Source organism: Homo sapiens, chromosome 16 (genome assembly GCF_000001405.40).
Source record: "Homo sapiens chromosome 16, GRCh38.p14 Primary Assembly".
Classification (NCBI taxonomy): domain Eukaryota; kingdom Metazoa; phylum Chordata; class Mammalia; order Primates; family Hominidae; genus Homo; species Homo sapiens.
This window is the reverse complement of record NC_000016.10, coordinates 11092661-11118575: the sequence shown is the minus strand read 5'-3', so window position 1 is coordinate 11118575 and position 25915 is coordinate 11092661. Positions and strand designations below refer to the sequence as shown.

At 47.8% G+C, this 25915-nt stretch overlaps 1 protein-coding gene across 37 annotated transcripts in view, besides 6 other annotated features; it reads right to left on the bottom strand.

Moving 5' to 3' along the window:
- The window catches only part of CLEC16A (C-type lectin domain containing 16A), a 237623-nt gene that overhangs the window by 63611 nt on the left and 148097 nt on the right, over window positions 1-25915 (bottom strand). The window lies entirely within an intron of this gene.
- Window positions 5250-5544: a silencer, noted in NCBI's record as "tiled region #12604; K562 Repressive DNase matched - State 5:Enh". NCBI's record gives its function as "weakly represses a minimal TATA promoter and a strong SV40 promoter by Sharpr-MPRA in K562 cells {active_cell/tissue: K562}" and the evidence as "EXISTENCE:reporter gene assay evidence [ECO:0000049][PMID:27701403]".
- Window positions 5250-5544: an enhancer, noted in NCBI's record as "tiled region #12604; HepG2 Activating non-DNase unmatched - State 10:DNaseD". NCBI's record gives its function as "activates a minimal TATA promoter and a strong SV40 promoter by Sharpr-MPRA in HepG2 cells {active_cell/tissue: HepG2}" and the evidence as "EXISTENCE:reporter gene assay evidence [ECO:0000049][PMID:27701403]".
- Window positions 13085-13224: an enhancer, noted in NCBI's record as "active region_10412". NCBI's record gives its function as "activates an Ori minimal core promoter by ATAC-STARR-seq in GM12878 lymphoblastoid cells {active_cell/tissue: GM12878}" and the evidence as "EXISTENCE:reporter gene assay evidence [ECO:0000049][PMID:35858748]".
- Window positions 13575-13624: an enhancer, noted in NCBI's record as "active region_10411". NCBI's record gives its function as "activates an Ori minimal core promoter by ATAC-STARR-seq in GM12878 lymphoblastoid cells {active_cell/tissue: GM12878}" and the evidence as "EXISTENCE:reporter gene assay evidence [ECO:0000049][PMID:35858748]".
- Window positions 17917-18026: an enhancer, noted in NCBI's record as "active region_10410". NCBI's record gives its function as "activates an Ori minimal core promoter by ATAC-STARR-seq in GM12878 lymphoblastoid cells {active_cell/tissue: GM12878}" and the evidence as "EXISTENCE:reporter gene assay evidence [ECO:0000049][PMID:35858748]".
- Window positions 23654-23703: an enhancer, noted in NCBI's record as "active region_10409". NCBI's record gives its function as "activates an Ori minimal core promoter by ATAC-STARR-seq in GM12878 lymphoblastoid cells {active_cell/tissue: GM12878}" and the evidence as "EXISTENCE:reporter gene assay evidence [ECO:0000049][PMID:35858748]".

The following is a 25915-nucleotide window of genomic DNA, read 5'->3' as shown; positions in this document are numbered from 1 at the left end:
TGGTTAAACTGAGTTCACCTAATTAAGTAAAGACAGTAAAGCAAGAGTCCCCTGAGCCATGACAGAATCACCAAGCCCTCAACTCAGGGTATGACAATTTAAAGCCAAGCCCTGCAGTGGATGTTGTACATGGATGGGCATTGGATGTGTACAGCACTTGGCCCTTCAGAACCAGTTTTCCCATTTGTAAAATGAGAATTAACGTCCCTTATCTTGAATTGTTTGGTGCGTTAAATGAGAAAAGGCGGGAAAAGCATGGGGTCTTGTGCATAGGAGTCCTCTGCATATGCTAGGTTCCTTCTCTTACTTGAAAGTTGTCCCCAGCTGGGTGCAGTGGTTTGTGCCTGTAATCCCAACAGTTTGGGAGGCCAAGGTGGGTGGAATGCTTGAGCCCAGGAGTTCAAGACCAGCCTGGGCAACATAGTGAGACCCTGTCTCTACAAAAAGCAGAAAAAAAATTAGCCTCACAGCTACTTAGGAGGCTGATGCGGGAGGACTGCTTGAGCCCAGGAGGTAGAGGCTGCAGTGAGCCATGAGTGTACCACTGCACTGTAGCCTAGGTGACAAAAGCGAGACCCTGTCTAAAAAAAAAGAAAAGAAAAGAAAAAGAAAGTTATCCCCAAATTCAATGTCTAATTTAATGTCTACCCTTGACTTGGAAATCACCAGGGTAACATAGGACCATTAGATCTATGGTCTACCGCTGTATGCAATCCTCTGCCACTTATGTTTTAAACAAGAGAGCTCAGTCCGGAAACAACCTAAATGTCCCCAAACAGGAGAACTATTTGAGTGCAATTTTTTCCCACCAGATGCAAAATTATATACCCATTTAAAAATTGTTTAACCGAACTGTGGACAGTGGTTACCCATGAGGAGTGAAGTGAGAATTGGGGGTAGGAGTGTGTGTGTGTGGGAGAAGTATTAAGGGGAGAACTTTCATTTTTATTCTATGTCCCACTCTACTGGGACATTATTTTAAAATGAGAAAAGTATTCAAGACATACTTTCGAACACATATAATAAGCCCAAGTTAAAAATCATGTTTTACAAATAATTGCAATGACTGTGGAAAACATTATAATTTTAAATGAAAGATGATAAAAATGTTATTACCAAGAGTTTTGTATGTTTTAAAAAAAACTATCCCTACAAAGAAATACTAGTACAGAGAAAATGTGCCAAAACATTAACAGAAGCCTCTGATTAGAAGAGGGTAGGTGAGATGTTTTGTTGTTTCTTCATAGTTTTATTAAAGTATAATTTACACGCCATAAAGTTCACCTATTTTAAGTATACAGTTTACCTATTTTAAGTATACGGTTTGAGTTTTAGTAATTTTTTTCTTTTTTTGAGCATAGTACCCAACAGTTTTTCAACCCCTGTCACCCCCCTGCCTTTGGCAGTACACAGTGTCTATCGCTGCCATCTTTATGTCCATGAGTATCCAATGTTGAGCTCCCACTTATAAGTAAGAACATGCGGTATTTGGTTTTCTGTTCCCACATCAATTCACTTAGGCTGCCAGCTGCATCCATGTTGCTTCAAAGGACACGACTTAGTTCTTTTTTATGGCTGTACACAGTATTCCATAGTGTATACGTACTACATTTTCTTCATTCAGTCCACCATTGATGGGCACCTGGGTTGACTCCATGAGTCTACTATTTTGAATAGTGCTGAGTTTTAGTATATTTATGGCTATGTATTACCACATCCCAGTTGTGGAATACTTCCATCACCCCAATAGGTTCTGTTGGGAGCACATTAACCAGATATTTGGCTCAACTTTATTAGGGGAGGAGAAGGGTAACATGGGTGGTATCAATTTTGGCCAAAGCACACGATAACAAACTGGGCTCATGCATTCTCCAAGGATTTCCCCCCTCTCCTTTTTCAGTTTTCATCCTGATCTAAAAGCACAGGTAAATTTCTCTTTCCTTTCTCGGGTAACCCCCAGCAACATATGCCTCGGTTCAATCCTCCGACAGTGTAACCTGTCTGAGATTCTGGTTTCATGTGGATGTCACCCAGTTGGTCCTCTCGGTCTTTACAGGCCTCGTGTTTCCCTCTATTCTCTCCAGCACATGACCCCCGAAGTCAGCCAGGTACCCCCACAGCAAATCCCAGCTCCAGATAGGCTTTACTGAATTTGTACCTTTTTTTTTCTTTTCTTTTTCTTTTAGACAGTCTTGCTCTGTTGCACAGGCTGGAGTACAGTGGCACAATCTCAGCTCACTGCAACCTCTGCCTCCTGGGTTCAAGTGATCCTCCTGCCTCAGCCTCCCTAATAGCTAGGATTATAGGCAAACACCACCACGCCTGGCTATTTTTTTTTTTTTATTTTTAGTAGAGACAGGGTTTCACCATGTTGGCCAGGCTGGTCTCAAACTCCTGGCCTCAAGTGATCCGCCTGCCTTGACCTCCCAAAGTGCTGGGATTAGAGGCATGAGCTACCACATCTGGCCCAGTTGTGCTTTCTTATTATCTACAGCAAGAACCTTCTTTCCTTTCCCAACAGTCCAGCCGGGTATTTGAAAATATTTTTTAAAAAACATATTTTAGGGCTGGGCACGGTGGCTCATGCCTGTAATCTCAGCACTATGGGAGGCCAAGGTGGGAGGATTGCTTGAGCCCAAGAGTTCATCCTGGGCAACATAGTGAGACCTTGTCTTTAAAAAAATTTATAATATATATGTTTTAATATATTATGAAATATATTATATTAACATAAAATGTACAATAGTATGTTTATCTTATGATGAATTTTTAGTTCCATACTGGATGATTCTCTAGATGACTAGTCTTCTACATTATTAAAAAAGGAAGTCATCATATTCATTCTTATAAACATTTTCTTTGTGGTAGGTAGGGTTTGTTTTCTTTACTCAATACTTAAAACAGGCCGGGCGTGGTGGCTCATGCCTATAATCCCAACACTTTTGAAGACTGAGATGGGTGGATCGCTTGAGCCCAGGAGTTCCACACCGGCCTGTGCAACATGGCAAAACCTCACCTCTACTAAAAGTAGAAAAATCAACTGGCTGTAGTGGCATGTGCCTGTAGTCCCAGCTACTCAGGAGGCTGAGGCAGGAGGATCACTTGAGCCCAGGGAGGTTGAGGCTATAGAGAGCCGTGATCACACCACTGAACTCCGGTCTGGGTGACAGAGTGATGAGCCCTGTCTCAAAACAAACAAACAAAACTTAAAGCATTTTCTCAGTGGGAATCTTTTAAAAAATACTCTTTAAAAATAGAACAAAAACAATAAACATGTTCTTTCCTTTCTTTCTCTTTCTATCCTCCTTCCCCCTCCTCTCCTTTCCCTTTCCTCACTCTACACAGGACAACTTGACTACCTTCTGTTTTCACATTCACAAAAGAAGTTCATCTGAGAGTTTGATCTGGGAAAACGGACACAGTCATACACGTCAGTGTCAATGGGGTTTGTCCCAGGCAGTGCGACTCCCTCATAGAGCCTGGCTGCCTGAGGGGCTTCAGCGGAAGAAAGACCTGCCACCTCCACCACAAAGAACAAAAAAGGAAGGATAAAACCCCAGAACGGAACAGCTTTCAGAAATGTAATTGAGACATCAAAGCCCTGTGAGAACACAGTGAGAGATTTCATAAGAAAACTAAAATGCGGCCACACCAGTGAGACAGGAAGGATCCCAGGGAGGGAGCTCTCGCTTTTCAGAGGCTGTGGGGCAGTTAAGGAGAAATGAAGCGGCTTCTACAGATTACAAGCAAATGCTATCCGCAAGGGAGATCAAGGAATTGCGGGTTTTGGGTGACTCCTTTGTGGGTCCCGCCAGTATCATTTTAGGGAACTCCTGTACCCTGCCCCAGTCCTCGGCTGCTCCACACCCTGGCTGTGGAGCCCTGGGGGACACAGGCTAGTCACCTTGGGACTGCCATGGGGTCTTGGGTTGAGGAGAAATCCAGGAGAGAAATGCTGAATGGAATCCAACTCGGCCCACCCTCTAAAGCCTCTGCCTGCAGGCTTCATGCATGCATTTGGGAGCCAGCAGGAGTATGCTGAGTGCTAAGGTACCATGGGAAGGACTTGGTGGCAGACGGCTCTGTCGTGGTATGTGGCAGCCTCCCTGCCTGACACTCAGGAGTGGCCATGGCAAGGAGAGGCCAGTGCAGCTGACAGGTGACATGAGACTGCCTGGTCATCCATCCACCATCCCCAGATCTCACTGCCCATCGAATCTCCAATTCTACAGGGGTGGGGCTTAGGATTCTATTAAGAAAATTATCAGAAGACAATGATCAGATCAATTATCCCTATGATTTAAGAGGCCAAAGATACAGTAGTAAACGTGAAGGATTTGCATAGGCCATTCACAGATGAGGGGAAGGGGGCAGCCAGGAATGGGGATTGCCAATAAACACACACACACACACACACACACACACACACACACACACACACACACACGGCCATCCTCATGGGAAATCAGGAAACAACTCAAAATACCATCTTCTGCCCATAGGATTGGCAAGAATAAACATGTCTGATAACATCAGGTATAATGAGGATGCAGAGAAACTGGCATTTCTCAAAAGCTGCTAGTGGGAGAATAAATTAGCATAGCCGTTTTGAAGGACAAATTAGCATTATTTATTAAAACCGAAAGTTTCACATTCTATGACCTAGCAATTGGTATGTTCCCAAGAAAAACACTCACACGCGTGGGCTAAAAGACTGTGAAGAGTCAATTTTCCAGCAAGAAGGGAAAGCCTAACTAAAATGTGTTTATTCCTTCTGTGTAACACCAAGGAGCAATGACATGGAATGAATTCGCCTTCCAGAGAGTTCAAGAGAGCCAAGTCTCAAGAACATACGATGAGTAGAAAAAGAAGCTCCAAGGTGATTTTAGTTTCTTTTTCTTTCTGTTTTTTTTCTTTGAGACAGGGTCTCACTCTGTCACCCAGGCTGGAGTACAGGGGAGCGATCATGGCTTACTGCAGCCTCGGCCTCACAGGCTCGAGTGATCCTCTCACCTCAGGCTCCCAAGTTACTGGGACTAAAGGCATGCACCATCCATGCCCAGCTAATTCTTTATTTTTTGTAGAGATGGGGTTGTGCCATGTTGCCCAGGCTGGACTCGAACTGCTGGCTCAAGGGATCCTCCCACCTCAGCCTCCCAAAGTGCTGGAATTACAGGCCGATTTTAGTTTCTACACACTGCTCTGATTTTCTAAAGGGAAAATAGGTATGTTATTTGCACACTTAAAATTGAATAAAGAAATAAGTGAGTCTCTTTCCACAGCTTTACACAAAGGGACTCAGGTCTTTATGAGGCCCAGCCAGGGTTGGGGAGCAGCACTAGGCCAAGCTGCTGGCCAGCCGGGCTCTGCCTGATCATGCAGATGATAGACAATCACTGAGAACCAGGTGATGGCGTGAAGCCAAGAGCTCTCTGACAGCACCCTTGGGACATAGCTGTGGATGTTTCCAAGTGTGAGTTCTTCTCACAGTCACACCTGTGAGTTCAAGAGCTCTGGTGTCCAGTTCAGCTCACATGTGCACGTGCACAGTCTGGTGCCTACTGGGGCCAGGCTCTGTACTAGGCACTAAGTACCTATACTGAGAATGAGGCTTGGCCCCCACCAAGAGGAGTTCAGGGCCCAGGTGGAAGGCTAAGGACCATGAAAGGCTGTGCAGACCAAGCCTCCATTCTGGGGAGGAACCAGGCCCCACAGGCAAAAGGTAGGATGGCAGATGTCTCCATCTTACCCAGGACCCTGAAGGTATGGCATGCCTCCTAGCGGAACCTTGTTCCAAGGAAAGGTGACATAGCCCTCCTACTCCCAGGCACTACCTTTTATTTTTCTTTGGGGAGGGGAGAAAATTTGCTGCATGTCATATGTATGTGTGTGTGTATGTATGTATGTATGTATTGACTGAGATAGGTCTGTCACCCAGGCTGGACTGCAATGGTGCAATCATTGCTTACCGCAGCCTCAAACTCTTGCACCCAAGCGATCCTCCTGCCTCAGCCTTCTAAGTAGCTAGGACTACAGGTGTGCCATCATTCCTGGGTAATCTTTTTTTTTTTTTTTTTTTTGTAGAGATAGGATCTTGCTATGTTGTCCAGCCTGGTCTCAAACTCCTGGATCAAGTGGTCCTCCTGCCTTGGCCTCCCAAAGTGCTGGGATTATAGGTGTGAGCCACCACACCTGACCCATTCTATTTTATTTGAAAATATTAAACTTATCAACCACTTTCACTAGATAACACATTCCTAGGTTCCCATTTTAACAGGTATAAAACCTTTTTACAGTGGATAATAAGTGTCTCCTGTGCCCCTCTGCAGAGGCAACCACTGCACGGGCTCTTGTTGCCTGTCCACTGTGCATTTTCAAGCACTCATGGGGCTATGTTCTCCTCTCCATTTCCTTTCTTAAATGGTGGCATGCCACCCACACTGCCTACATTGTACTTTTGACACTTCCTGATGGCACATCGGCACTGAGACACTCCTTGTGATTTTTCATAGCTGCGTTCTCTCCCACGGTAGGGAGAACTCTACACCATTTAACAGCTCTCCAACTGGCAGACATTCGGAGTGTTTAGAAGCTTTTGCTACAACATTCAAAGGAACATTCTTATTCATACGCACATGCGAGAGTAAATTTATAGCAGCAAAGGAGAGCTTATGCTTAATTTTTCTAAAACATTTGTATTCTATTAAAATAAATTTCAGAAGGAAACTTCATATCATTACCATGAATGGAAAAACAGAATTACTTACAATCATTAAGGTAAACATGAAAACTGATTAGAGGAGAAAAGACCATTTATTAAATTACAGCCTAATGCCTGCTCTTTTGATAAAAAGAGGAAATCTGAGTTACAGAGTTTCTACGACAAACTAGTCTGAATCTGAGACCTTCTCCTTGGTGTAACAGCACAGACTAGAGGGGCACTGAAATGGATTTTCTTACGGACTATACTTTCCAAAGATGGCCACAGCAATATTTCTTACCTACATGTTCTTCTCATAGTGTGACTTTGACTCTCCTCCCATCAAGTGGTGGGGTCTACCCTTCTCCTTGAACCTGAGTGGGCCTCAGTGATTGTCTAGACCAAAAGAGTACCAATGGAAGTGATGCTTTGTGATTTCTGAGGCAAAGTCATAAAAATGCTCTTGGAACCTATCCACCATGTTGTGAGGAAGCCCAAGTAGCCATGGAGACACCCACAGAGAGAAACCAAGGTCCAGGCCCACAGCCAGCTCCCAGTCTATACACGCCAGCTGATGCCATGTGGAGCAGAGTTATTCCCATTGAGCCCTGGGCAAATTATACATTTGCTAGCAAAATGAATTCCCATAGTTGTTTTAAGCCATGAAGTTAATATATGTGGTTGGTTACTCAGCAATAGATAATTGTGATGGTAATTTAATTTAGTGCTACATCCAGGCACATCTAAAATTCTAAAATTCTTTCAGTACCACCAAGAAGCTACATGCTGCATCTCAGAAGACTGGCCTAGAGAAACAACTCAGGATTGGCTGTTTTGGGGACCTTGGAAGATCCTGCAAGTATTTAGCAGAATGAAGGGAAACTAGCACAACCATTTCCCAACACAACTTTAAGATGCTGGGAAGGAAGAGGAGAAAAGGAAAAAGCATGAAAGAAAAAGCATGCTGTTACCATGAAGAGCAGTATCACGGCAACTTGAGCTTTAGCACTGTGCAGACTGGGTTTAAAGCCCAGCTCTGCCAGTTATTAAACTGTGTGACCCTGGGCCGATCACCTCCCTTTTCTGAGTCTCAGGTTTCTGCCTTATAAGAAGAACACTTAACCACCTGCAGGACTGCCCAGGGTATCTGGGAGGGGCATGGGGCTGTGCCCAGCATGCATCACAGAGGCAAGCTATGGTGGTCATTGTCAGAAGTGGTCCTAGTGTTCTCCCAGCACAAGTCAAATTGCTCGGAAGTGCCATGACATTTCTGGAGCCATGACTCTCTCGTTGGAACCCTTCTGCCTAAGGTACTCATGTTTTCTGAATGCAAACTCTTGACTAAATGAGTCTCTTCAGAGGGAGAAAATGAATCATGGTTTTCGGTTGTTTTTCAGAATTCCCGTAAGGTCATGGAATATGCAAGATACACAGGCCCCCCGGGCTCTGCAGTGAGGCCTCCCCTGACCCCTCATCCCTGGCTGCTCCCCCAGTCCCTCTCTACATTTCCCTAATCCCCAGCCCCATCCCAGTGCCTGTCATTCTTGACTGTGTTGAAGCATCCCTGTCCAGACTGTAAGCTCCCAAAACAAGGGGTCCTGACCAGTATCACTAGCTGCTGTACCCTCTGGAGGGGGTCTGGGCAATGGCTGGTGCTGAAGAAGTATTTGTGGATGGGATGGAAGGAAGCTAATGTCTTTTGGTGCTCCCACTTGGAGGCCAGGGACTGCTCAATCAACTGTTCTTTTAGCTCCTGGGCTGAAGCCTTCCCCTACAGCCCCCTCTGACAGGCTGTAGCCCATTACTGAGCGATAAATGGGGCTGACTGACTTTTGCTGTATTTTAATAATCCCTTCACAATAAAATACGGATGCCAATCCATAATTTAATTCTTAGCATTGGTGGCTCCAGCTGCATTTAGAATGCAAGTCTTTTTCCTTACAGGGGGATATCCAGGCCAGCAGAATTCCAAGGCTTTGAAATCCAACAGCCTGTTTTAGGCTACGGCTGGAGTTTAAATTAGCAGTTCAGTAAACATTAGCAAATCTTTCAAGCACGTGTGGTTAATCAGAGGTCAGGAGGGGCTGAGGAACAGGGAACACTGATCCCTTGAGGGAAAGGCAGGCTCACCCTGGAATTCCAAGAGCAGGGCCCACAGCTGATAGGACACCTGGAGGGCCCGTGGCTGCACGTGTGAGGGAGGGGCTGTGGTCTTGGCCCCTCCACACACCCATCCAGCCTGACTTGTTTCTATTCCCGAGTCTGCGCTGGTACCAGGGATTAGTGAGGGGGAACTGCAGTGGCCTGTGGGTGGTGCAGGGAGGGCAAAAAACACTGAGCATTGCTGGCTTTCACCGGAGTTGGGGATGCAGCACCATTCCAGGCTTTGGTTCTCTAAAGCCATGTACTGAAAGATTATCAGGGCTGAGTGAGGTGGCTCATACCTGTAATCCCATTACTTTGGGAGGCCAAGGCGGGAGGATTACTTGAGCCCAGGAGCTCAAGACCAGACTGGGCAACATAGCAAGACCTCGTCTTTACAAATAATAAAAAAATTAGCTGGGTGTGGTGGTGCACACCTGTGGTCCCAGGCTGAGGTGGGAGGATAGCTTGAGCCTGGAGTTCCAGGTTGCACTGGGTCATGATCGCACCACTGCACCACTGCCTGGGTGACAGAGTGAGACTCCATCTAATAAAAAAAAAAAAGTCAGGGCTGTTTTGAATCAAGGCCCCTGCTCCCAGTTTTTTTTTTTTTTTTTTTTTTTTTGAGACAGTCTCACTCTGTCGCCCAGGCTGGAGTGCAGTGGCGCGATCTCAGCTCACTGCAAGCTCCGCCTCCCGGGTTCATGCCATTCTCCTGCCTCAGCCTCCCGAGTAACTGGGACTACAGGCGCCCGCCACCACGCCTGGCTAATTTGTTTGTATTTTTAGTAGAGATGGGGTTTCACCATGTTAGCCAGGATGGTCTCGATCTCCTGACCTCGTGATCCGCCCGCCTCGGCCTCCCAAAGTGCTGGGATTACAGGCATGAGCCACCGCGCCCGGCCCAGTAGTTTCATCAATGACAATGGCTGCTGGCACCAAGACCAACCTTTATAAAGTGCTTTTATATGCCAAGCCCCAACTTTCCACTTGACATGGTCCCAGATCCTATGAGGTGGCCACAAACTGCAGCAGGACAAGTGACTTCCCCAATGACACAAACTGATGAGTGACATATGTGGCTGAGGGATGCAGCCAGATGGCCATGTGAACTTCACACTCTCCTGAACAAGCTGATCAAAACCTGGCATTCCAGTCCCCTGGCTGAGGCCAGAGAGAGCACTCATCTGCCTCACAGCCTGGTGCCCCCTCTACCTGGGCTAGCTGCAGAGGGTGGGTGGGAGATGTTGGCTGGTTCTGGCAAGGAGACAGTCAAATGATGTGAGCTCTCAACAGGCAAGCCCTGAGGGTTTAACTCCCTGGTGGCCAAGGATCTGAAGCCACCTCCATGCTCCTGGACTGCCTTGGCAAGGTCCCCCTTTCACAGGGCACTTGGTGGCCCCTTCGAGCAGGAGACCTAGTTCCTTCTTTGGCTTAGGAAATGCTGTCTCTCTTCTACCCTTGAGAGTTTCTCTTCCTGGCATGCAGGAGAGACTGAAGCTGGGTGTCCGCCCCTTGGGCTCTTTTCAGATGCTAGAATCCATCAGTTAGCAAGACCAGTCAGCAGCCTGCCCTCATGGTGCTTCAGACCAGCAGAAGGATGGCTACCCTTCCAAGCTGCTGGACACTTGGGGAATCAGCCTCTGTGGGATGGAGACGGTTCTTTGTGGCACAGAATTACATTGGTGACTTGAGGGAAAATCAGCCTCGCATGCCTCCCTGATGACAGAATGCAGCTGCAGGAGGGGCCTTGGCCACCATACTGCACTGCTGGGGAGTACCTGGTGAGTCACGGCTCAGTGCGGGGTGGAGGGGAGAGGAAGCCTAAGTGGTCCGAGGGGTCAATCAACAGCCCAGGAGGACAGTGCAATGCATCTCTCCCAGGTCACCACCCTGTCAGAATCCACTGAAAACTGAAAACAGCAGCCATTCTGGGGCATAAACAAATCACGTTTCCTTGGGAGCTAACTTGAGTGCTTTGAAAAGGAAGCCAGTGCTGATTCCAGTGTAAGCCCAGCAGAGCTGGAGTGACAAGGAACTGGGCCCTGGTAAATTCTACAGATCACCTGAAAGAGGCAGAACAGCATGGTAGGACACCTGGACCTTCCTGAGCCTCGACTCACTCCGGTGGGGGACTTCATAATCCAGGACACTTTCAAGACAAAAGAAGGGCTGAGACTGTTCCCACCGAGGGTGTGAACTAGCACACTCAATTAGGTTGGCTGCTTCTCCTGACAGTCAAATCAATCCTTTGAAGAAAATTAAGTAACCATTTCTCCATCAACCCAGCAACAGCTTATGGGTTATTTGCTGCAAGTAGCAATCAATTACTTTTTCTTCTTTGTGGCTCCCTAAAGCATTCCTTCCCAGCATGAAAAGGGGGCAGTTGTGAAGTGTGATATTTCCTGGACAGAGAGTGGGTCTTGGCACCTTTCTACTGCCAGGCCTATAAGCCGCACCCTCTAACATGAAGAGGAAAAAAAAAAATGTACTGGTGGCATTTCTGGGATTTGTAAAGGAAACCAGCAATGAGGTATGTAGATAATGGGGTATTTGTTGAAATTCAGTTACCCGGGGAAACTGGGACCTACTGCTTGGTTTTAAGGTTTGAGCTGTTCACTGGGCGTCCCACTACAGGTGCCACACTGATGTCCGGGCCTCTGCCGCCTCTCCACACCCCTCTGCCCACACCACCAAGAGTAACCGGCAGAGCACTGTTAAGAAAACTCTTGTGTTCTCCTAACACATTCCAGCTCCACTTCCCCACCAAGAAGCACAGGTCTGAATGCAGGGGAAGCTGTGCAGGGCAACAGTCCCAAGCCGGGCCTGGGCCAAGTGCCTGGAGTTGAGTGGTAACTCTGCCACCTTCCAGCTGTGGTGACCCTGGGCATGTGACTTTGCTTCAGTTGTCTCATCTATAGGCGGGGGGTAATAAAATAATTTTATAGCTCTACTTCATGATATGCAAGCTGGAGTATTTGGGGAGAAGGGTACTGAGGCCTGCAATTTACTTTGAAATAAATTTTTAAAAAGATTCACTTCCTCACCTCTAAGGAAAAGTATCTTAAAAAAAAAAAGAAGAGAAGCCAGGTGTGGTGGCATGCAACTATAGTCCCACAACTCAGGAGGCTGAGGCAGGAGGATTGCTTGAGGCCAGGAGTTTGAGGCTACAGCACTAAGACTAAGCCTGTAAACTCCAGCTTGGTTAACATAGCCAGAGCTATTCTCGCCTGGGAAACATAGCAATACCCCATCTAAAAAAAAAAAAAAAAAAAAATTGGGCTGGGTGTGGTGGCTCACACCTGTAATCCTAGCTGCTTCGGAGGCCGAAGTGGGAAGCTCACTCGGGCCCAGGAGTTCGAGGCTGCAGTGAGCTATGATCAAAACACTGCACTCCAGCCTGGGTGAGAGAGACTCTAACTCTCCCCCACAAAAAAGTTTGGTGGATAAAGTAGATACGTGATAAGACAAGTAGACAAGTATGAGGGTGTTCACTATACAATTCTTTCAACTTGGTTGTATGCTTGGAAGGTTTCAAAATAAAATTTTTTGGGGAAAAATGGACTTCCTAGCATTGTTGTGAAGTTCAGGCAAATTACAACAGATTTGACACAAGGTGACTGGTCAGTATGCAGAATCTGCACTCAAATTATTAGTTTTCTGGCCTCCTTTATATCACTTTTGTGTGATGACTACAGGATCCTATCATTGTGAAGATCCATTTTGTTCCCAAGTTGAATAGCAAGGATTTGAATGGAAAGAGTTTGGATGGAGCCCTCTGTAGGACTCTTTCCAGAATCTCTTAACTCTGCAGAATCTTCATGTCTCCCAGCACACTCAGGGCCACTGAGGACACTGTATCAATGCTCACTTTACAGATAGAGGTGGATAAATCTGTCACTGGCTCACTCAGCAACTATCTGAGCAGTGGCTGTGTGAAGGGTTGGCTGTCTTTGTGACTGGTACACGGCCCAGGAGCAATAACTAACTGAAAGTGCCATTTTCAGGCAGGGAGCTGAAGGCTTGGGGAGGCTGGGTGCCTCAATCTCAGGTACCCACAGGCTGGGGGAAGTGCTAGCTTTGGGCTCAGCTCTGTCTGCTTCCAAAGGTGGGGTTTTCCACAGCTACTTCCTTTCTCTCAGTATGAAAGGCACATGCCATGTCTAGTAAAATGAGGTGACTGGTTTTCACAGTGGCCAGGAAAACCAGTTGTGTGTCTTCATCTTTCCCCCGTGTCAAATTTTAAGACTCTTCTTGGGAGAATGGAGGATGAGAATTTTACCCTCCTTGTTCCCATGTGTCCAGAACATGTATGGGGGCAGCCTCTCTGACTGCTGAAGTCTACTTAAGGATGAGCAACTTGCAAAAGCTTCACTCCTTGTTCCTCTTCTTCAATACGTGCAGTTCACAGCTTGACAACTTGGTGAAAACACAATTACCAGAAACCGAGTCCAAGGGAGCAGCAGTTCCAAGTACAGTCTGGCATATCCCCTTATCAAGTGACACCCAGCTGCCAGAGACACGATCTCATCTTACAATGCATCGGTGACCACACTTATCTCTGCTCTCGGAATGCCACATTTGCATAGTACATTGCATAATTTCCTCTCTGAAAATGGCCCTGTTTAGCATGAGTAAATAAAATTGCCTAACTCTGTGAGGCAGCCAAATGGAATACTTGAGATTTCCAAGAAAAGATCTGAATACTTAAGCTCATTATGCAGCCAGATAAAGTCACATGGAATCTAGGTTCACACAGCTCCTCTTCCCCGCTGTTCAGCAGCCCAGCAGCCCAGGAACAAGGGTATCCTGGTCTTCGGAAGCCCTCTGTGATGGCTCTGCTCTGGACCTTCCACAGGATGTGGTCAGGGTCTCTCTACCCCATTTGTGCCTAGGGCTATGGGGCTACTGTGTGTCGGGTACTGGGCTACAGGGATGAAGAAGGCAGATGCATCCTTACACTGGGTGACCCTTCAGAGGCTGTTTCCTTATCTGAAAAATGAGGACACCCCTACTTTGTAGGAATGCTGTTGGGAACAAGTAAGCTGGGGTGCAGAGAGGGCTTGTGATTTTTCTCCACCTTCGTGGTATGGGCCCACCTCTCCTTCCTCCCTCTGGAGAGAAGTTCTTGAAGATGGGGCTACATCTTCTCTTTCCCTTGGATTTCCTCTGTAAGGCACCTCATCAGAAAAGTACACAAGGGTATTCCAGAGAGCAGATCCTGGCCCAGGGTATTCTCCTTCCTTAGGGGGTGAGGTCCCCAGGCAGAGGACATAGTCTAGAGAATATGTTAAAACCTCTGGGATATGCTGGGTGTGGTGGCATATACCTGTAATCCCATCCTTTGGGAGGCTGAGGTGGGAGGATTGCTTGAGCTCAGAGTTTGAAAACAGCCTGGGCAATATAGTGAGACCCCATCTCTATGACTCCTAGGGAGATAATTTTAATAAAAAAAAAATTAGCTGGGTATGGTGGCACATGGCTGTAGTCCCAGGTACTTGGAAGGCTGAGGCAGGAGGACTGCTTGAGCCCAGGAGGCAGAGGTTGCAGTAAGCTGAGATTGTACCACTGTACTCCAGCCTGGGCGACAGAGTGAGACCTTGTCTCAAAAAAACCCCCCAAAACAAAACTCACCTCTGGGATCTATATTACTAACACTGCTAGAGAAGGCATCTGTGGGTGCCACACACATCTGTGGGGGATCCTGGTACCCACAGATGCTGGCCAGACCTCAAGGAGCTCTTCTGGTCAAATGGATCTGAGCCTGGCATTCAAGGCTCTTCTAAGCAAGGAGGCATTCTCTCCTGCTAACATCCAACCCAGATTCTCCTCCGACATAGGCCAGTTGTGGGGAAGAAAAGGCTTCATAGATGGAACCGGTACACCCATTCATCACTGCCTCAGACTTTTCATTCAAACATTTCTGGGGGTGCTGGACTCTGCTTGGCAAAGAGGACCACAGAGATGGGTAAGACTTGTCCCTCAGGGGTTCCTGTCTAGCATGGGAGCCCAAAGAAGTGACAATTACATGCCATGGGACAAGAGCCACAGCAGGGGAAGACCAGGAGGATGTAGACTGCTGGAAGACAGGCCATGACACAGCCCAAGGGTCAGAGAAGGCTTCTTGCAGGAGGTGATTTATTTTTATTTTTTTGAGACGGAGTTTTGTTGTGTTGCCCAGGCTGGAGTGCAATGGCGCATTCCTGGCTTATTGCAACCTCCACCTGCCAGGTTCAAGTGATTCCCCTGTGTCAGCCACCTGAGTAGCTAGGACAACAGGCATGCGCCACCACGCCTGGCTAATTTTTGTATTTTCAGTAGAGACAGGGTTTCACCATGTTGGCCAGGCTGGTCTCAAACCCCTGATCTCAGGTGATCCGCCCACCTCAGCCTCCCAAAGTGCTGGGATTACAGGAGTGAGCCCTGTGCCCAGTCAGGAGGTAATGTTTTAAATTGATCTTGAAAGAAGCCCAGCAATGGGCCAAGCAGAGGTGGAGAGCAGCGCCACTGGGCCTCTCTGGGGGGACTGCTGGCTCCTCCCCAGCATATTCTTGGATCTGACCCTTGTGGGCCCAGCACTAGCCTCCCATTTTCCACCAAACCTCTGGGGTTTGAGGCTCTTCACCTCATTTCCGCCAGAAGGTCCGGGGAGCATTCGCTTGCCCATCTCTCAGGCCCTCCCTCTGTGTCTGTCCCTGAGTTTCAGCCTCCAGGGACAGTTCAGCCTTGTGGTGAAGGCACAGTGAGGACCAGGCCGCCTGCTGCTTTAGACTGAGCTCTGCCCCTTACCAGTGTGGGACCTCGGCTTGTTGCCGTCTCCCCTCTGGCCCTCAGGTACCTCATCAGCAAATAGAGGTGATATTAACAATACTGTCCCTATAGTGTTACTATGAAAACTCAATGATGTTTGTAAGGTGCTAGGATAGTGCCTGGCACTTAGGAGTAACAGCAGCTCTCTGAGTTCCACCCAGCAAGAACCAGCAGGATTTGGTGGGGAGAACACTGAGCTGAGATGGAGAAGGGGCCTGGGTCTGATGCCCAGTGGGGCCACTTACTAGGCTGTGTGGCCTCAGTCAGGGCAACCGACCTTTCCAGGTGGACCTCAGCTTCCTTGTCACTCAAATGAAGCGGTTGGGACTAAACCACATGCCTCTTTTCTGATGGGAAAGAATGTCTAAATTTCATACCAGGGGACACATTTATAGCCGTTTGGCAGAAATTAGTTCACAGAGTGAATGCTTACCGGCACAGCAGTCTGATTTTTAATTAGCTTGTGGGAATTCAATATACTTCAAACATTAACAGTAAAATATAGGAGACCTCTGGTGGAGACAAGCTGTACCTTTGGACTTAAACAAAAGCGTATACCTCACAAACCAAATTCCCTGCTTTACGTTTTTAATCTTTTGTGTTCAAACTGATTACTAATAAACTTTGGGCAGCAGAGCAACATTCTGGAAGCATGTGATTTAAGTGAAACGCAATCTTATCAGCACAGCTGTGTGTAATACAATACCACACCCCCAATCAGATGGCCTTATTTAAACTACGTTTCAGCCATGGTAAAAATGGAGAATCTCAAACTATTTTTCCCTCTGAGTTTTTAATTCTTTTAAAAATGAACTAGGTGCGGTGGCTCACACCTATAATCCCAACACTTTGGGAGGCTGAGGTAGGCAGATTGCTCAAGCCCAAGAGTTTGAGACCAGCCTAGGCAACATGGCAAGACCGTGTCCCTACAAAAAAAAAAAAAAAAAGCAAAAATTATCTGGATGTGGTGGTGTGCACCTGTGGTCCCAGCTACTCGGGGGGCTGAGGTGGGAGGATCACTTGAGCCTAGGGAGGTCAAAGCTACAGTGACCATAATTGCATCACTGCACTCCAACTTGGGCAACAGAAGGATACCCTGTTTCAAAAAAAAAAGAAAAGAAAAGAAAAGAAAAAAATGAACTTGTACACGAACTACTTATGAAATTCATGAAGGGCAAAATAAAAAAGGGAGCTCCATTCATTCAAGAAACTTTTATGGAGTATCTTCTAGAACATTAGTTCTATGAGGGCAAGGATTTTTGTCATTTTTGTTCACTGCTCATGGCCAGGCACACGGTATGTGCTCACTAGACGTCTGTGGAGAGGAGGGATGCCTACCTTGGACATCCAAGGTGTTGGAGAGACAAGATAAAAGGCTCAGTCCCTGCTCTGTAGGACCTCACAGCCCAGTAGGGAGAAAACAGAATGAACAAGACACGCAGAGTGTGACACGCAGAGTGCGACAGTCAAGGACATGCAGGGAAGGGGCATGTACCATGGGCCAGAGGCAGGAGGGAACATGGTGAGTTTGGGAAACTCCTGTCCTTTGTTGGGGCTGGGATATGAGGAAGAGGGCAGTGAGGACTGTTGGGGGTGAGGCTGCGGAGGGTGGGGACCCATCAACAAGGGTGGCTTATTAAAGCCACACCTAGGACTATAAATAGTTGCCCAGGAACTGGGGACACTAGGAAGATCACTGCGAGAACTGAAGGTTTTTGCCTATCATTATTCAGTGAAATGTAACTCAGGCCCTTAATTGGAAGCTTATAATGAAGACCTGGACTGGAACTTAAAATATAACACGAACAAAGAGTTTACTAAGCATATTAAGAAAAAATAACATGACATTTGTTCCTTTATTTATTAATTCATCAAACAGTTACTGTGTATCTACTATGGGCCAAGCACAGTCCCAGGTACTAGGGCTGCAGGGCTGAAAATGAAGGTCTGGCCCTCACGCAGCCACAGTCTCAACAGACAGACCATAAAGCAGTAACTGAAAGAAATCTGTGAGTATAAACTGTACCAGCACAATGGAAAGGTATATTCAACCCGTTACAGACTTTGTTTAAAAGTTCATCTGCAAACCCTGCAAATAAACTCTTCAAAAGTTCCAGCCACTTGCAAACATATACCCATGCTAATTTCAGATACTAACAGTTACAGTGTAATATTTAATAAGCATCTGACACTGAGCTAAGCACTCAAAACCACCCAGCCCAGGCAGTACCATTATCTGCACATTACACATGAGAAAGCTGAGACCCTGAGAGGGTCAGTAACTGACTTGAGGTTGTGCTGCTAATGTTATCTTCCGGGAGGTCAATTCCCAGGACCCCAAGCAGGAAATGCCCAAGTGAGTCAGGTCCAAGTCCCTCCATGTGCTTGAAACCAAACCCCAATCTTGTAAAAAGATTCTCTGGGCCACACTAAGTTAGTGAAATCTGGACCAGAAGGGTAAACCACATTTGGCTGCCTGTGCTAAGAAAGAGATCAGCAGCTTTCACAGCAGGAGCAGGGGTGACTTCACTTTGGCCGGGCCGTGTGCATCACCGCCTTCAGCTGCTCTTGCTAATTTCTTGGCAGAGGAAATCCACCAGCAGGCGGAGAAAGGGAAAGGTGAAAGAGAGACAGGAGATTTTGGCAGGACCGTAGGAGGGCATGATAGGTGGTGAGAAAGCCCAGGCTCCAAATTGCTGAGTCCCCCGCAGTCTTACCTCCCTGTTAAGGAATGACTGGCTCTGAAACTCCTGCACCTTCTTCAGCTTGATGCACAGAGGCAAGTTCAGAGCTAGGAAGCCATGGATTGAATTTTTTTTAGGCAAAAGTTAAGAAAAGAGCTAGTCAGGCTGTCCAATAGTAAATAAGTGTGTCATAGGCAGAGCCACCGTGGTCAGACAGTTGGCAGGGGTGTAGAGCCTGTGTACCCAGTCAGCCGTGCCTCCAAACCCCAGGTGCAACTCTGGCTAGATAGGTAAGAATCACAATCCCCACTGTCTCTGCTTCCTGCCACATGCTGGACACTTAAACACAGCACAGGCTCTGGGCCTCTACTTTCCCATCTGTAAACAGGGGTGAAAACAGCACGTGGGTCCCAGGCAGGGAAGAATGAAAGCAGAGAGCAAGTGCCCAGTCCACACCTCTGTTACTGTTACCATCCTCACTTTGCCCCGTCCTCGCACCTGGGTGAGGAGGTAGCCACACAAATCTGGGCTTTCAGTTCCAGACGAGGACGCCTGGGCCCCAGCAGAGTTGACAGCATGCAGCCACACACTAGAAAGTGACGGAGCTGGGATCCTGAAAGACTCCAAACCCTTGCCTTTCTTGTTTCCTGATTTTACCCCACCTGCTAGACAGCGCTGCTGCCCAAAAGGACTTTCTGCATTGATGGAAATGTCCTACGACCATGCTGTCTAGTACAGAGCCACCACACATGTGGCTATTTGCATTTCAATTAAAATTAAATACAATTAAATATCCTTTTTCCGTTGTCTTGCTATCCACGACTGAGCACTTGAAATGTGGTGTGACAGTGGAACAGAAATGTTTAATTTTATTTAACCTTAATTTTCATTAATGTAGATTTAGACAGCCACAAGTGGCTACCGTGTTGGACAGCGAAGGGTTAGAGGGAAGAAAACGAGACCCTGTCCACTGTGTGGGACCGTGGGAAACAGCTCTGCTCCACGTCTGCCGATGAGCCGTGCATGAGAATGACCTGTCCTGGCAAACCCGGGTGGCATGAAGCAGCCTGGCCCAGGGCCTTGGAGCTCCCTGACCTGGAAGGAATGGGGCGCTCTGGCCACATGCACTCTTGGCTCACTCAGCCTGGGGGTTATGACTCCCATGCCTCACCTTAGCCGCCACGCTCTCTGCAGAGCACACAGAAAGCCCATTCCCACACAGCTGTCTCTCCGTGTCACAGAGCAAGTAGGTATGATCAATGGGCATGGGGTGCCACAGGTCTCACTGCTGGAAGGGATTCCTCATGGGTCACCTGCCTCCCTCCACCCTGGCCTCTGAGGATGAGCAGGGTCTGACCTGCTCACTGCCTGGGCATCTCTCTGTCCTGGCCCCCACATAGGACTGGGCCCAGTGGAGGGGTGGGAAAGGCTCTTGAACGAAGGAGTTGAAAAGTTACTCCCACACACAGCACTTGGGCGAGAATGTGCAGGCAACTGGAAAGGCTGAAGCTCACACACAGCGTCTTGGGAGAGATCCAGGGTTCCTCGAAGGGAGGCCCATTGGCAGCCTGGGGCACCCGGTACTGGGACAAAGTGCAGATTTTAGGACTCCAGCCCCACCAGGCTGGTTCTCAGGGTGCAGGGCCCTGGAGGGTCTATGGACAAGTGGTTTGGAGACTTGTCAGATCCCAAATACCATTATGGATGGCCACACTAACGCCCTCACGCTCAGCTCTTAGGAAGCCACAGCTGGGACCCCACGTCTCCTTACTGAAGAGGCTGACAGTTCTTGAAGGTGGAGGGGACTCAGCAGCAACACTAAACAGGCTGGGATGCAAATACCTGGTAGCAGTTTAGAAGAAAAGGCTACCTGCCACTTGGTCCCCTGTCCCTTTCTGCATCCTCGGCGTGCACAGGCACGCATTCTCAGTACACAGGCTCACATGGCCGTTCCTTGGAGATGGGGCTGAGCAGGATCTGACTTCTGTGTCTCCATCTTCTGGCTTTTCTGTTGAGGGGTGGGCACTGAGAACTCATTGTTTGCCACCATGCTAGTGCGTGCTGCAGAGGCCTCGGTTAATCCCTAGAGCGGTGGCTCCCAAACTCTACTGCATGTAGGATCACCTGGGATCACTGAAAACAGATGCTGGCTCCTGCCCCCAGACAGTCTGATTTAATTGGTGTGGGGTGTGACCTGGGCACCGGGCGCCTTAAAGCTCTCCAAGTGATTCTACCACACAGCCAAGTCTACATACCACTTGGCCTTGTGGCATCACTTGTGGGAGGCAGACCTCCCTACACCTGTCGCCCGTGGGCCAGCTGAGGAGACAAACCTGCCCAAGGTCATACCCTGAGCCAACACTGAAGTTGGTGGAGTCTGATCATAGGTTTGTGCTCCTGCTATTATAATGCAAGGAACTCACAGCCCATGGATAATTGAAAAACAAAGCAAAGCACAAAATCCTTTTCCTCATCACACTCTCAGACACTGGGGCAAGACGTTTCAGGCCATTCATAAAACAGACGTAAACCAATGGGGCCAAAAAGCTGCTGGATTTTTCACACACAGGGAAAGCTCACTGAAAAAACACCAGTAAATACGGAGGCTGTAATGCAACCCCAGGACTGATGGATTGCTCATAACATCCCCGGGAGTTAATTAGAACAGCCCTGAACTCAGTTCTGTGTCGGTGCTCCTTGCCATTAATGATTCAGGTAAAGAAGGAAGTAAAATAATAGGGCAGGGAAGGAAATTAATTGAACTAAGCTTTTTAAAAATATTTCTGATGCATCAAATTCTAATGAAAGATTAACACACACAATGGAAATATTAAAAGGCACTTACAGAGGCCCCCAAAACACAGAGAAAGAAACCTGTCAAGGGCGAGGGAGCTGATTAAATCTTTCAGATAAGAAAATTGGTAAGGGATGTGAGGCATTTACTCACAGTTGTGAATTTTCATCAGGAAAACAGCCCCTGGTTACTCACCCAGCTGCTCACACTGGGACAGCCTTCCTGGAGGGCAACTTGGCAATTGGCAAAGAAGTCTTTCAGCTGGGCATGTCCTTTAACCTGTTCTAGAATTTTAGGTTACCGCCGTTCTCATGGTTGGGTGTAGAGATTCAGCTACAGGGAAGTTCAAACTTGGGGTGGGGAGGACTTAAAAAGGGAAAAATTCACAGATACTGGGAAACTAAATCTTGGCAGGCCCTCATGGTGGCATGTTATACAGTCAGTTTTTTAAAAATGCTGTTAAAATGGTGGTTCCTAAACTTTAGTCATTTCCTGACCATCCTAAGGATTTTTTCCTAGTTGTACCACCTGTACCGTTTATGTGATGTTTTCTTTAGATTATGTCCCTCCCTTTGTATTGAAATTTATAAGGAAAATTTCATTTACATCAACGCAAAATCAGCATCATCTTTCATAGAAGACATGATTACGTACATGGACAAAATATTCCTACATTTGCCAACCAAGAATTGCCTCAGGCACCACCTCTGGAAAAGTCTTGATGAGACACACAGCTTGGTGATGCAGGGACAAGGCACCCCCATAAGGCCTGGAGTGAAAAATTAAGGTTATCGAACAGCGTGCACAGGGTGACCTCATTTTTGTAAAATGAACTCATGTGGTTATCTTTGGGGTATGGTATGGTTACAAGTGTTTTTTAAATGCTTGTTTCTCTTAATTTTCTACAGTGAATAGATAATACTTTTATAATCAGGAAATAAATTTAGAAAACTTTCAATGGTCTGTATTCCTCCCGTGGGTCTCTGTGTGCTTCTTGGGACACAGGTCTGGAAGAAAACATACCCACTGTGACTGTGGTTATCCAGGGAAGTGGGATGAGGAGGGTGGACATTACTTAGTTTTTATTTTATTTTACTTTTTGAGACAGGGTCTCACTCTGTCACCCAGGATGGAGTGCGGTGATGCCATCACAGCTCACTATAGGCTTGACTTCCCGGACTCAAATGATCCTCCCACCTCAGCCTCCTGAGCAGCTGGGACTATAGATGAATACCACAACACCCAGCTACATAAAATTTTTTTTTTTTAGAGATGGGGTCTTGCTATGTTGCCCAGTCTGGTCTCCAACTCCTGGGCTCAAGTGATCCCCCACAACCCTCGCCTCAGCCTCCCAAAGTAACTGGGATTACATGCGTGAGCCATGGTATCTGGCCTTAGTTTTGTTTTCTTACAAAGACAAGGTATTTGCACAGTATTTGTGTAATTAAAAGGTAATGGCTGGGTGTGATGGTGTGCACCTGCAGTCCTAGCTACTTGGGAGGCTGAAGTGGGAAGACTGCTTGAACCCAGGAGTTTGAGTCCATTAACTTCCAAAGTGAAGGTCTCCTTTGGTGCCAATCTTACGCTACAGCTACGCTTCTAGCTCCCTTTTTTTTTTTTTTTTTTTTCTTTTTGAGACAGAGTTTTGCTATGTCACCCAGGGTGGAGTGCAGCGGTACGATCTCGGCTCATAGCAACCTCTGCCTCCTGGGTTCAAGTGATTCTCTTGCCTCAGGCTCCCAGGTAGCTGGGATTACAGGAGCCTGCCACCACGCCCAGCTAATTTTTGTATTTTTAGTAGAGATGGGGTTTTACCATGTTGGCCAGGCTGGTTTCGAACTCCTGATCTCAGGTGATCTGCCTGCCTCGGCCTCCCAAAGTGTTGGGATTACAGGCGTGAGCCATCGTGCCCGGCTGTAGCTCCTGTCTTACTCAACTGTCCAGAGCACTGTGGCAAACCCTCAGCTATGCTGACTGCCTGGACTCTGTTCCTGGAGTGGTCATTCCCAACACACAGACCAGAGCTGGCCCGTGGAGAGAATGTCAGGACTGATCAAGGTGAAAATGGGGAGGTGGGGGGAGCCCTGCACCCAGAGTCAGAACATGATGTGCCAGGCTGCTATGAGGGCCTTTCCAGCCGTGACCCCTGCACAGCCTTTTTTCTTTTTCATCTTCTCTTTCCTTTCTTTCTTCTCTCTGGTTCTTGCTCTAAAAGCACGACCTAGAAAAGGCAGGCTTTCCACGTTCCATAACATTACCGCCCACTTTTTCCTGCTATTTACATCAAAGATCCCAAGCTCACACATTTGAAACAGAATGTCATTTAAAAGACTACCCACTTAAAAAAAAAAAGAAAAAAAAAGATTAGCAACTGTTCAAATAAGAAACAAGTCATGGAAAATGTGACTTTCATTCTAGTTCTGCTTGATCACACCTGCTAAGAAGAAAGTAGAAACTTCAAACGCATCACAGGTACTGAGGGAGCCCAGAGCTGCAAAAGGTTAAGTGCTTTATCGGGGATCATCCAGTAGTAGGAAACTTTTTCCATTATGTGCTTAAAGGCCCACAGCCCCTTTAAATAGCCCCCTGCTACCTCATAATAACGATAACTTGATTCATTCTACAGGCTTTATTGATTTAAATGTGATTCACGTAAAATTCATGGCAACCATGCAAACCTAATTTTTCACATTTGAGCTACATTAGAAACTACACGGCAGAGGCAGGAGGGAAATGAGAGAAGGCATATTCGGGCAGTGGGGCCAAGGCAGGCATGCAGGGCCCCACAGGAAAAAAGGGAGAGATTTTTCTAAAGAACTCAGATGCAAAAAGAGACACACAAGGTCAGTTCTTAAGAAAGGAGCTTGCCTGATGTGGCCTGGAAAAAGTTGTAGGGGGGGAGGTGGTGCCTGTAAATGCTTCAAACTTCAGAGGCAAGGCCTTGTGTGGCTCTCAGCTGCCCCTCCTCTGAGCAGCTGGAGCCAAGAGGGCCCGTTAAGCCACAAGAGCACTTCTGCCTCCTCCCACAAACCTCACATCTGTAGATGAAGCCGGCTCTGGCTTCCAGAAGGTTTACTGCAATCACACCTTAGGGCTGGAAACTTATCAGGCTCGGCCTGCCCAGGACAGGCGCAGAGCTTCTGAGTCAAGCCTCTGGAACCCCTGACTCATGTTACCCTTCAGTTTCCCCTTTGAGCCCCTGGAGCCTTCATCTTTGGTCACCTGAAGGTGACACAGCAAGGTGGTTCATTAGGACAGCCACAGGCTGGGAAGGGGCCCTGTACAAAAGAGGAAGTACTCTGGAGGAAAGGTTGAGACCAGGGCATGATTTAGAGGAATGGGGTCAGTCCTGCTTCCTAATGCCACAGTTACAAAAGAAGGCAGAAATTAACCACCATGGCTTCTACAAGCACATGATAGGACCTGCCTGTCGTCCAAAGACCCTCGTCACCCCTCCACCCCAACAGGCTAGGAAGCCTGTGGGTCCTCCCTTCTAACCAAGCCTGCCCCATCCCTGAACGCACCGTGGCTTGGGTCACTGTCCTCTCACCTGGGGTGAATGAGAGAGGCATGTTTCACCAGCTGCCGCCTCCATTCTTGCTACCTCATCCCTGCTAACTGTGCCATGGAAGTGGGCTTCCTGGAGCTGCTCCCAGCCCACTTTCCTGTCCTTCAGCAGGGCCCCTTCTCTGCACTGCCACACCCTCATATCCTGGCTCGCCTTCTACCTCCTCTTGCTCAGTCTTGTACACGCCCTGCCCTCTTCCACCTGTGCTGTGCCCAGGGTGCATCTGCCCACCCTCGGCGCCTGGCTGATATTTACTTCTTCAAAAATACGCCCACTTTGCTTTAAGACAGATTCATTTGGTGACTCCTCAGTGCCAGGCGGTATAGATATGAAGAGAAAGGTGACCAGTCACTGCCCACCTTCCAACCCTTGAGTCCGGGCAGAATCACTGAAGTGTCCAGCAGGGCATGCTCCCGGCCTGTACACTGGAAGCCTGTTTGTTCCTTTGCCTGAGTGCCACAGGAAGTGTCAGCTAGGGTTTAGGAGGCCTTGAAGCACTTTTTGAGTCCTAGACTCATACTCACTGGGACGAGTATGGCCACGGTAACCGCACTGGCTGAGGAAAAGTGGCTTTGTTCTCCAAATGTCCCAACTCCAGGGCCCAGGCTCACTGTGAGGGATGGCAGGGAAGGGCCACTCCAGTGAAGCCTACTGCCCTTCTCTCTCTCACTCTGCTGTGCTGAGCAGGTCTAGCTGAATTCATAAGAGATGAGGGTGCACACCATGTGATGCCCCAAAAGCACCATGAGAAGGGGGTGCAAAGGCTGTAGGAGCCAGCAGGGAAGTGGAGGTGGTGGGGGGTACAGGAGGAGGAGATCCCTGAGATGGGTCTGGACAGATTGCCCAGGTAAGGATGCTCCTCATCCCAGCTCCTCCCTGCTCCATGGGGGCCTCGACACTGGGGTAGGGGGAGCTTCCTGCCTCCTGGCCTGTCTCCCACTAGACTGGGGACAGTCATGATGATGAGGATAACGACAGTCACCATGCATTGGGGATTCTATTATGGATCAAACGCTTGTTAGTATATTTAATTGTCACGACCACCGTGTTTTATAGAAGAGGAAACCGAGGCCCACAGAGTTTCAGAAGCTCGGCCGAAGTCATACAGCTCATAGACGACAGACCCAGTCCTCAAACCCTGATAGATTCTGACTCCAGAGCACCTACTCTCACCATTGTGCCACGAACAAAAGGAAGGAAGGAACCAAAAGTTTTGG